The 12,566-nt window shown below is 47.5% G+C and overlaps 2 annotated features.

The window, feature by feature from the left end:
• Nucleotides 3,707-4,652: an enhancer, noted in NCBI's record as "NANOG-H3K27ac-H3K4me1 hESC enhancer chr2:130467533-130468478 (GRCh37/hg19 assembly coordinates)". NCBI's record gives its function as "activates a minimal SCP1, AML or CMV promoter by ChIP-STARR-seq in primed H9 embryonic stem cells {active_cell/tissue: H9 hESC(primed)}" and the evidence as "EXISTENCE:reporter gene assay evidence [ECO:0000049][PMID:30033119]".
• Nucleotides 4,653-5,597: an enhancer, noted in NCBI's record as "H3K4me1 hESC enhancer chr2:130468479-130469423 (GRCh37/hg19 assembly coordinates)". NCBI's record gives its function as "activates a minimal SCP1, AML or CMV promoter by ChIP-STARR-seq in primed H9 embryonic stem cells {active_cell/tissue: H9 hESC(primed)}" and the evidence as "EXISTENCE:reporter gene assay evidence [ECO:0000049][PMID:30033119]".

Here is a 12,566-nt window from a genome sequence, read left to right on the forward strand (position 1 = left end):
GAATGGTATTTTACCACAAGAATACAATGGAAAAGAGAGCCCAGAAAGAATTTTTAAAATTATAGAATAGTTTTAGAAATTAGAAGGGTAAAGATGAACTATTCAATAAAAGTTGCACACCAAAAAAAAAAACAAAAAACAATTATTTCCTAGGCTGGAAATCAAATCAACAATGAAGTCTGTGGAGGCCATTCTGATGAATGGGTGGCCCATCTGCCTGGTCTGCCTGGCACAGTCCCTACCCCATCTGTTGCTCAGTGTCATTGTTACCAATGCCCTCTTCTCACTCTCAGAAATGTCCAGCCAGCATGATATACCATAGATCATTCTACATATAAATAAAAAGGATTAGTATCAAGCAACGATTATGAACCCTGGCAAATAAGTGAAAATTTAAAAATAAAAATCACAGGAAATTAGACAAAGAAAGCAAAACAAAGTGAGCAAAAGATGTGAACAGGCAACTCACAGAAGAAGAAACCTTAATGCTGTAAACTTGTGAAAAGATGCTTGACTTCACTAGCAAGTGGAAAAATACAAATCAGAACTGCCTAGGTTCTGCACTCATCAGATTGGCAATATCGAAAGCCTAAAAATGCCAAGCGTTGGAAGGACGTGATGAAACAAGGATGCTCCCACCGCAGGTGTGAGTGTAAGAAGACTTCCTGCCTCACAGAGCACTCTTGTGTTATCTGGTTAGGATGGAAGGTCCAGAAATTCTATGACGAGCACCTGTCTTCTTGAATCTTTTATTTATATCCATGAAGAGACATGAACAGGACAGGTTTCTTTGTAATAAAGAAAAATTGAAATCACCTAAATGAGCAAATAAATTAAGCCATGTTTATGCAAAATCACACAATAAAATATTCATATTATCTGGATCAATATTGAAATGATCTAGTCCTAAAACATTCGCATAGATAAGCCTCAAATACAATAGTGATAGGGATAAGAAAGTTGCAGAAAAATATGTAAAGCATGATGCTGCTTATAGGAAGTTAAAAACACACAAAGCAGTGCTACATTATGTTTTTAGAAGACAGGGTCTTACTCTATCACCCTTGCTGGAATGCCCTGGCACGATCATAGCTCACTGAAGCCTCAACCTCCTGGGCTCAAGCGATATTCCTGCCTCAGCCTGCCAAGTAGCTGGGATATCAAGTGTGTGCTACCATGCCTGGCTACTTTTTAAAATTTTTTGTAGAGACAGGGTCTCCCTGTGTTGCCCAGGCTGAACTTGAACTCTTGGGCTCAAGTGATCCTTATGCTTTCGCCTCCCAAAGCGACGGGTTTACCAGGTGTGAGTCACGGCACCCCCACCCCCCACCCCCCAGTGCTGCTCTTAAGGATGCATAAGCACATAGGGGAGGTATAGAGATGCATGAGGATGAGACACTAGCAGCATGCTAGCTACACTTCTGGAGAGAGAAATAGGATGGAACAGGTCCAGTGGGTCATTCAGTGTCACTAACCTTGCTTTCCTTGGGGCCCTCCATGGGCACCCTGATGAATCCCTTTAGGGCTGAAGGGATGAGGCCTGAAGGATGCACCCTGCAAAGAGAACCAGAGCTGCCCCTAGAGGCCTGAACGTGGACTCCCTCGACCACCCGCAAACCCTGCCTGCATGGGCTCCCTGGGGGAAGCTCCCACAGGCAGAGACAGGAGGGCTGAGGCCCTGAGAGGCAGCAGGAGCAAAAGGAGCCATGGATCTCCACCTAGTGCCACATGGGCATTTTCAACCCATTTCACAGATGAGAAAATAGTGGCTCAGGAAGGTTAAGTAACTAGGCCAAGGTCATGCAGCTAGTAAGAAACCAAGCTGAGGGCGCATGGGAAGATCACACTCCCTGCACTAATGGGGCTGAGGGAGGGTCAGGGACCCCTGGCCTCACCATTGGGAGGAAACCAGGAGGGAGGCAGCTGTCAGCTTCTGAAGTAAAGAACCAGATTTGCTTGGCTTGAAATGTAACCTACACCTACGCTAAGGCAGCATAACCTTGCTGTCCTCTCAAACAAGCATTGGTCGGCATTGGCTCTTTAGCGGGCTCACGTCTGTGAGGGTGATAAATATGAACCATGCTACAACCGCATGGTCAGGCTCCACCGCAGAGCACCAGGCAGGGGCCAGGCATTGTGGAGGCTGCGTTAAAAACTTTCTACACTTGACACTTGCACGTGAGTCCTGTGAGCTAAGTACTGCCAGCTCCGTGTAACCCATAAGGAAGTGCCTCGCGGGTGAGGTGGCCCTGCCCAAGGTCACACAGCTGCAAGCAGGACTGGAACTCAGGCTGCGTGGTCCTGAATGCCCGGGCTGTCCCAGCACCCGTACCACCTCTCCATGTCAGTATGGGGCTGCCGGCTGCCAGGCAGTCACTGGTCACCGAAGCACCCCTGAGGAAGGTGAGGAAGAGCCCGCGCCAAGAGGGTGCTCAGGCCCAGCCCCAGGAGAACCTACCTGGGAGCCTGGAGGGGACCAGGCACCCTGGGCTATGGGAGCAAATGGCAGGAGTGCTGAATAGCTCCCCCTTCAGGAAGACAAAAGCTCCAGAAGTAGGCTGGCTGGGTTCTTGGCATTTTGAACAAAGAATTGGACAAAATGCACAAACAAAGCAAGGAAAGAATGAAGCATCAAAAACTTATTGAAAATGAAAATACCCTCCACAGGGTGGGAACGGGCCCAAGCAAGGGCTCAAGGGCCCCGTTACAGAATTTTCTGGGGTTTAAATACCCTCTAGAGGTTTCCACTGGTTACTCACTGTATGCCCCATGTAAATGGAGAGGATATTTCATGTCACAGCTGAAGTGTCTCCGTTTGATTTCGTTCTAGGAAGTCCTTAGTTCCCTGCCTCCAGGCCCTATTCTCCTGCCTCACAGCCACCATCTGCTGTGGCCCAGTGGGGAGCTGCCTGCTGGGGGCTGCCGCCCTCACCCTGGTGACTCCAGGCTGGGCTGCCACTCTGCTACCGTGCTCTGCAGAGCCTCCATGAACTCCCACTCTCCCTGGCTCATTACTCACGGATTTTTCTGCTAAGCCCCAGAGCCCTCTTTTGAGAAATTGTGCACCGTGTGAGCCCTGGAGGCAGCCCCAGCCCCTCTTGAGAAGCTTGGGGCCATGATGATGTCCGCAGCTCCTGGGCAGCCGGACTGCAGGGCATGAAGACCCTGCCACAGTCCTGCTGCCTGCAGCACTGGCCCAGTCAAGGAGCAGCTGCCACAACCACACTAGCACCCCCCATCCCCCCAGAGCAGCTGCAAAGAGAACACAAATGCAGCAGCAGCCAAGGGCTGGGGGTGGGAACACTTACAAAAGGCAGAGAGGGTGGTGGGGAGCACCAGAAACCCCCAGCAAACCCATGATTTTGCTGAGGGAGTGGGTGCACGTGCTGGCCTCCCTTAGTCCAAAGCCTGTGCTCTGAATTCAGACCAGAGGTGAGGCCCACAGCCCCACCAGGTGCCACTGACACCTTGGCTTCTGGGGACCTGACCAAGGAGGCAAAGGGCACATCCACCCAGGGAGGGTCGTGCTTCCTGTGCTCACAGAGGCCCCTCACCCCTGCAGCCGCACCCAGGACGCATGGTGTGAGGCCAGGCTTGGAGGCAGCTCTGGAAGGAGCCGGGGCCTCTGTGTGCTGGAGGAGTGGTGGCTGGTCTCTTGTTTTGTTTTCTTGGGCCCAGGTGTTCCTACCCTCCTTTCACCTTCTCCTTTTTCAAGGTGCTTCCCAGGTTTCCAGAGCCCTCACGCGGCCCCTGGAGGCCTGCAATCCTGATGGGTTCACCCCACCCTTTCTGAGCCTTCCCCTCCAGATGCAGGTGCCACACCTACCAAAACACTTCTCTGAGGAAGCCCCATTGTTTCCCTAGGGACGCCCTCACCGCACGTGGCACGTGATGACTGCCCAGCAGTAGGTGCCAGGAGAAAACCTCCCCTTTGCCCTCTGAGGGTTTGCTGGAAAATCAACTCACAAAAGGCAGATTAATTGGAGAAAAGGCATACAAATGTATTCACACGCGCACAGGAAGAACCACAGGCGGACTTCCCACCCCCGGATGGAGTGCAAGGGCTTATGCACCACCTCAAGGTTACAGAAAAGTTGCCGGCTCAGAGTACAGCCAGGACCAAGAGATGGTGGTAAGACATGGCCAGAGGGCAGAGGGAGGGAGGGAGGGCGCCTGCTGGCAAAGGCCTTGTTGCGTAGATGAAGCCTCACAGGTGGCAGCCTTTGGAGAGAATAGAAGGTAGATGTTTCTTTCAGGCCTTTAAAGGTGGCAGGCTCTCGGTTAATCTCCCTGCATCTACACAAGGAAAGGCCTGGCTGCATCCACGCGGATTCTCTACAGACTTAATTTTCCCCACAAAAGACAGCTTTGCAGCCACTGCTGTTGGCTGGCTCCCTGACAGCCACCTCAAAATATGCCAAAGAAATATATTTTCGGATAAAATATTTTTATTTACTTCACAGGTGTCTTCACCAAACTTTCCTGGACCCCCATCACTCACAGGAGGGCGTTCCAATCAGCCTGCCTGGCAGGCAGGGCCTTCCGCTGCCCCGACCCTGGGTGCCCCCTCCCCATTCTGGGCTGCAGGGAACTCTGGGAGGAAGCTGTTCCCGCCACGCGTCCGCAGGAGCCTCCTCTCCATCAGTGCTGAGCCTCCTCTCCATCAGTGCTGCCCCTCCTCCAAGGGCCTGCTCAGACGCCAGGCTCCAGGAACACTCGCGGTCTCTCCCCGGCCTCCTCTCCTCTCCATCCAGAGCCCTCTGTTCTCACCCCGTTCCAGGTGGATCCCAGCATGGCAGGCCGCAGTCAAAACCTCCAAACACGACAACGACTCCGAGGCACCGCACCTCCCGCTGAGAAATGATGACTTGACTGAACATTGAATAGGGCTGGGCAGCCACACGGCAAAAACAGAAGGAACAGAACCCCCAGGCTATTGCTCCTTTTCTATCCTTTCCCCATATCCATTCCCCACTGCCACCCTTCCCATCTTGCCTCCTTCTCTTTCCCAAGCTATAACCCCCCATTCCCTCAGCTCTGGCCCCCGGCAGTCCCACTCCTTATCCGGCAAACAAGACACCACCCACCGCCCCTCAAGTGGCCCCGTGGAGCGGCACCAAGGTGCATAGGCACACTGCCCGCACCACGCAACCGCATCGCTCCATCATAAGAGCCCAGAGAGGGTTTGGGTGGAGACTGCACGCCCCACCCCTATCGAATATTATTGGTCCCCGAGTTTGCTCATCAAGGGAGAGAAATGCGGTATTCATCAACAATGCAGTCTCTCTCATGGGAGCAAGTTTTGAAAAGAAAATAAGATTTCTGTCCAAATCATCACATGTAAGAAGTGTGTATTGGTCAGGGTCCCTGCAGGGTAGTGAGCTCAACCCAAGCAGGGGTTTCCCTTCTCCCGTGTACCCCAGATCAGCCTGCAGAGCTTGGTCCTGAGTGTCTCTGCACCACAGTGCCACGTGTGAGATCAGGACAGAGGCAGACCCTGCTCAGTGGTGGGGGCGCTCTCCCCGGCCACCACTGCCGCTGTCATTATCATCCTCACCACTGCTGTTCCCGGTGCACAATAAATATGCCCTGAACTAAATGAACTGCAGGTCAGTTTGTGGGCACTGGCTAACCTGGTGACTTGAATGCAGGAAGGAATGTCATCATCCTGGAGATTCCATATTCATGCACTGGGGTGGTGCTTGTTCTGCCAATAGACCAGTGGGCCATGAAGACAGGACAGATGAGTCATGTCTTCTGGGAAAGCTAACCCTGAGCTTTCATCTATGCAAAGACTTGCCTTAGGGACCAGCAGATGCAGTGCACCCTGGGGACACAGTTTGAACTCCAGCCTCCCGGGCACTAGAAGCTGGCAAGCTGGGGAGGTGAGGGGTCACAGGAGGGACTGGCCCCTGGCCATGCAGTAGGCTGACACCATAGGCCCTAGAGTGGTTCTCGGAGGAACATGAATAAAGATAAAGCCCACAGACCATCGCCTCCATGACAAGCCTGCAACGCTTGTCACACACATCTCTTTTTATCCTCCTCATCCCCAATCTCTGGTGTGAAAGGCCTCCCATGACATACTTCTTTTAGTCTAGAGGGTGCCTGGGGAGGATGACAGGTGGCAAGATCTAAGAATACCATCATCTGCCTTCTAAAATGCAATGGAAACAGCCCCAGCAGGGAACGTTTGTGCTGAAATATTATTATTATCAATTACGTTGACACTTTCCACAGTACAATTCTTTGTGGTATTTCCAAACATGTCAGCATCTGCTCTTTTGTTTGGCTCTCCCCAGATGCCTTAGGAAGAGAAGGGCTGTGACCTCACCCCTGGTAGGGGAGGGGTTGGAGGTGGACTCCAGAGGCTGGCCCAAGGCCACACAGAGGGAGTGAGCTCTATAGACCAAGTCCTCTTGGTGCCAGAGGACGTGTGGCAGAGCCTGAGGACCAGGGAGTAAGAGGGCAAGAAAAGCGGAACTGACGGGGCCAGCCCCAGGCATCCCATGCTTTGGTGACTGCCGTTCACCGTGAGGAGCTATAGCCTGGCTCCCGCAGAAAGGCGGCCTCTCTGCTCCTTGCACCCTCACCACTGCCTGTCTGGGGCTGGGATCACAGGCTTGTGTGTTGTGATCTCTGAGTGTCTGTGACAGCTCATGAGCAGGTAAAAGCATGCCCCAGGAGCTTTAAAGACATTCATGTCACTTAACCCAGTCACATTTCTGGAAACATATCCATGGCATAGCTGAAAGAGGGCAGCCTTAAACTTCAGAGGTGCCAGGGTTCAAATCCTGACCCCATCATTTACCCTTCAAGTCTCCTGGAAAAATGCAGCTGTCTCCTCTCACCTCCTGCTCCTTTGTCTATGAAATGGGCGGCATAGTTCAGTGGCCTGTGCTGAACCACAACAGCCCCTCCATGAATAGTGACCAGTGTTATCAATGCAAAAAGGCCAGAGTCACAAAGATGCTTGCCAGAGATGCGCCTAAAGAGCAGAAAAATTAGCAACAATCATACCATCCAAAAAATAGGGAAAGCTTCTTCCAAATATTTAAGAGTTTAACAGAGAGTATTTTTTGTTTTTGTTTTTTTCTTAGAAAGAAAAATTTAGTAGGGACTTAGGAACAGAAGCCACGTGTGTGTCTCACGCATTGGCGAGACAACATGGTGGGCCCCCCGCCATAAGAGAATCTTTAGCGTCACTGCCCCAGCGGTGGTGTGTCTCAAAGCCTGAGCAGCCTGTCCTGCTGAAGGTCACCCAGCTCCCTGAATTCCGATGAGAAAGGATGGGAGGACACGAACAGCCACAGTGGCCAGAGGTGCAGGGGACCCTGGAAACCACCACACAGACTGCAAAAATTCATAAATGAAGAGATCTAAGCCCCAGACAGAGACACAACCCATGACACCTTGTGGGCCCCATTGGTAAGTTCCTGACTCCAAGACTCTTCCAGAGTCTCTGCCATCAGGCCGGAGCTTAACAACATATCACTTTTAAAGCATGACTTTCACTTAGGTTCACAGATGGTTCTTCCAGGATATATTTTCTTCATTATGATTCCAAGTGTTTGCGAAGTTACAAAATGTAAAGTGATAGTTATCGATAGGCTGTTCAGCAGAAGCACATCACACATGACAAAATGATCCCAGGTTTATATCATTGTCCTCAGGTGCTTCAGATACAAAAGCATTTAATTCCAATAATGGTTTGATCTTCTTGTCAATCTATGGAATCAGCATCCAACTTTTGTACATTCATTTTGTCAGTGGTGAGGCATTTCACATTAGTAGGACTGCCTTTACAAATGCAGCATAAAAGTCCAACACTGAAGATAAAATGATTGTTTTGCAATGATGGCATGAATACAAATTGTGTTGGAGCACAGTACGTGTTAAAAACAATATTCCTACTAAATTTAAAAAATGTGTTTGACAGAAGATATTTGCAATAGATTGTGATGTAACTGATAATTGCATTCAAGCAAGCTGCACTATTCCATTCAAATAGAAATTACAGTTTTCACATGTTTAAATACTTTTATTTGTACATAGAGAAACTGAACTTCAAAATGTTTATAGCAACACTGATGTGGAACCCGCACAAAAAATTACCAGTGTAGTCCAGAGTTTCTCTCTTTGCTGTCATCAAGCTAATGTTAGAAATATTTGAGACTTCAAAGATCCAGTACACCCACCTAAAGAGCTAACAATCGTATTGGACCCTTTTGTAAATGAGTCCCTGAAATACTAATTGCATTTAGATCAACCATAGTTGAAAATCATTAAAGTATTCAACCAAAGAAACACAAAAACACTGTGTTTGAAGATTTATCAAAATGTAATTGTTGAAAATAAACGGGAAGCCCTTGAAATTTATCCACCTCAAAAGTAAGCTGAACAAATTAAACAATGAAAGCTCAAACTGTGCATAAGGTTTTATTCTGAAATTGTATAATGTTTTGGAAGATCTCAACTGATAGAGGTATAGTATTAATTGCATAAATTTCTATTCTAAACAAGAATGAAATAAAATTGAGAAGTTCCATGATTTTGCAACACCTAAATTTAGCAAACCCTTTCAAAGAATCATAAATAGAGACAACATATTTAATTAGTTTTGCCATATAAAAAGTTTTGTTCAATCCCAGCTACCCAGGAGGCTGAGGCAGGAGAATCACTGGAACCTGGGGACCAGAGGCTGCAGTGAGCCGAGACTGTGCCGCTGCACTCCAGCTTGGGCAACAGAGCAAGACTCCATCTCAAAAAAAAAAGTTTTGTTCAAAAAAGCACCTTAGCAAACCACCATGGCACACATTTACCTATGTAACAAACCTGCACATTCTGCACGTGTATCCAGGAACCTAAAATAAAATAGAATTTTTTGAAAAAGAAAAAAAAGCAAGGCCATAAGACAATTCCTAATTCCTATTGACATATTTGGGCTGACATAGTTTTGCCAGAAATTAAAAGTTATAATATCCTGCATGATGTATTAACCTTACTGGGTACCTTAGTACCTGTAGAGATAATTTCCTCAATGTAAACATTATATTCTACAGGAAGCATCTATGGAAAGCAACTTCAGTTTTATTTTCCATAAAACACAATTCTGAAAAAACAAATATGCGACTTTTGTGGGAAGAAGAAGTCTGCATTAAAAAAAGTATATTTTTTAGAAAAATACCAGGATCATAGTATTAGAAAAAGAAATAGCTAAAAATCAAATTAACAGTGACAAAATTTTAAGTCAAATCTATGATAGATTAAGTCAAGCAATAATTAATAACAGTTAATGTTTCATAAAAAAGTGTTTTGAAAGAATGTATTTTGCTATTTTATTTATTTTGTCATATTTAGACTAGAATTGCATGTTTACACAACTATTATACAGCGCATCCGCTCATTTATACTGTTGTTTTAAGATGCTGCTTGTGCAATATGCATAATTGTACTGCACGTTAGGCCACCTGAGGCACCTACTAACCACACCCCGCATAAACCTATCCCTAGTTTTTAAATGATGCCGTTGCTCTCCCAATAACAATGGCTTAGTTGGTGACTCAATGCCTAGAAGGAGCACTAGAACACTTCTATTTGCTTCCTACTCACTGAGTGTGTACTTCCCACTCACTAAGTGTCAGGAAGGACATAAATAACCTGACAAACCTTAGATCCCAGTTACTGTCACCCTCCAACTTATCAACAAGGGAAACGAGATCCAGAAGGCTTAAGGTCCATGCAGGTCCACATATGCAGAAGAGGGGGTCCATCTACCACAACTGTGAGACTTCCGCTGTGTTGTACCCACCCCAAAACAACAGGCATCACAAAGCACCTACAGCCTGGACTGCTGATGTTGTACAACAGCTCACACCAACAGAGATTGTCTCTGGATATGAAGGTCAAGGGTGATCTTAAAAACTCTCTTGCTCCGACTTTTCTTTATTTTGGGGAGTATCTATAATGAATGCCTATGACTTTTATAATAGAAAATGTATGTTTTAATTTGTAAAAGGCCAGGAAAGTTAATACGGTAGCAATGTGCAGAATAGACAAAAGGCAGAAACTAAAGACAGAAAACTCAATTTGCCAGAATAGGAAATAGTCAAAGCGCAATTTCAACCTATATAGAAGTGGTGAAACCACTTGTCTTCAAAAAAGTAAACAAGCAATATTCAAGAGGATTTCCTAAACTACCTTTTCAAATATAATTTTTTTATTAATTGGTATTAGAAAACCAATCATCACAGATTGATGCACCAAGTTATCAGAAAGAGGAGTCCCATTACCCTGATACTTAGCTGTCTCTCCACATCCTGAGAACCAGGGGGCAGACTAACCCGTCAAGCCCCACAGATCTGGTGGGGATAGTAAAATGGCAGACAGGGTCTCCATCTTAAAGGTCTATTAGAAATCAAAACAAGCATCTTTAAAATCATAAGAGGTGCTCATGGGAAATGGGTTTGAGTGTCAAAGTTGGCTAACACGTGGTTTCTGCAGGAGTCCCTCTGCGTTAGAAATTAAGGCAGACAAGCACGTGGCTGCCTGGAACCACTGGAGGAGGCCATCAGCCCACGATGGCCTAAAGCTCCACGTCAAGTGAACAAGAAGAAAGACTGTCCAGAAAGAGGGAGCGGCACAGGCAGAGGCATGGAGAGTGAGCAGGTGAGGCTCCCTCAGGGAGCAGCAGGGAACTGAGCAGGACTGGGTGTAGAGCAAGGGCAGTGGGGAAGGAAAGGTCTTGGCGAGAGGGTTGTGGAAGGAAAGACACACAGAGGAGATGGGGCAGGAGCAGATCCAAAGGGGCCTCCCACAGTCTGGTGTGCAGGTTAAGTGGGTGTGTGTGTAGGTGTATGTGTGAGTGTGTGCATGTGAGTGTATGTGTGTGAGTGCGTGCATGTGCACATACACTAGTTTCTATCCTATACTTTCCTGTCTAACCCCCTCTCATCCCCCAAGCCAGGATCCCAAGGAAGGCCCAGATCTGATGGCTGAATGTGCTCAATTCCAAGGGCATTTGACCAATGTCCTGCGGTAACCAATGAAGCATCCCAGCTCACCTGCAGCCACGCTGCACACGATAGGCTGGTCCAGGATGAGGGATGCCAAGGGGCTCACCCAACTCAGAAGCACCCCCAAAGTTCCCTGCCAGCCACCTGTTTTTCCAGTTAGAAACACTCCCTCTCTTCAGCCGCACCCTGCCCCGGGCCCCAGCAGGTACTCATAACCAAACAATTGCCCCAAGTGAAGCCGTCAAGGCCTTTGAATTCCACAAATCTGCAGCTGACAAGAGCAACCCTGGCTTCCTGTTGGGGTCAGCCCGGTGTGGGGAAGAAGGATAGGGATAATGGGGTGGGCTACATCCCCCTCCCAGTAGCCACAGCTCCTGCCAGGAAGCCCTCTCCACACCAGTTCCTTTCCAGGTTCTGGAAACCTCGCCCTCTCCACCCCTTTAAACCTGGGAACAGTGAAGCTCCCTGCAGCTGCCAGCCCCAGGACACAGTCTTATTCTCTGAAAGCTTCCCTGGTTAGGTTGTTGCAAAGAATCCCTCCGTTGTAAACTTGCTGCAAACTCCTGGTTTGGAGTGAACCATCTGCCTCCCGCTGGGACTCTGATGCCTCCTGGGAGGTGCTGGTTATCACCAAGAGCCTCACTGTTCCTACAACTGACTGCACAATGGAGAGTGTCAGCAAACTGTTCTCTGAGGAGCTTGGCTGCAGCATAAACACGGCACTCCTTAGAGACACGGTCCACTCGCTTCAGCTCCTCCCTACTCGGTGACAGATTGCACCTGCCGCAGTCGAGTGTTAGGGCATTCTAACTCACACCCACACCTTTTACTGACCCCAGACTAACCGGCCCTTTTAAGGGAAGCAATGAACCTCCCATGAAACCATCACTTCCACACCTCCTTCCTGGACTTATTGCTATCACATTTATGTCCTGTTACTGATTTTTTTAAATCTTTGTTTCACTTGTAAGATATCAAATGTTCTCTGGACAGCAACTGTAACTATCAAGAAGAGAGAAGCAAGAAAGGTGTAGGTACACTGACCAATGGAACAGGAATAAACAGCCCAGAAATAAACCCATGCATCTCCATTCTATTGATTTTGACAAAAATGCCAAGAATATACATTGGGGAACTAACAGGCATTTCCATAAAGGTGCTGGGAAAACTAGATATCCACATATAAAAGAATACAATTGGATGCTTATCTCACACCATGTGCAAAAAATCAACTCAAAGTTGACTAAAGACTTAAATGAGAGACCCAAAACTGTAAAGCTACTAGAAGAAAACATGGGGGAAAACTACACAACATTGGTCTGGGCAATAACTTTTTTTTGATTTGACCCCAAAAGTAGGCAACAAAAGAAAAAATAGACAAACTAAAAAGCTTCTACACAGCAAAGAAAATAATTAATAGTGTGAAGAGGCAACCTACAGACTGGGAGAAAATATCTACAAATCCTAGAGCAGATAAGGGCCCATATCTAAAATGCATCAGAAACTCAATAACGAGAAAACAAATAACCCTATTTAAAAATAGGCAAAAGA

This window comes from Homo sapiens, chromosome 2 (genome assembly GCF_000001405.40).
Source record: "Homo sapiens chromosome 2, GRCh38.p14 Primary Assembly".
Classification (NCBI taxonomy): Eukaryota; Metazoa; Chordata; class Mammalia; order Primates; family Hominidae; genus Homo; species Homo sapiens.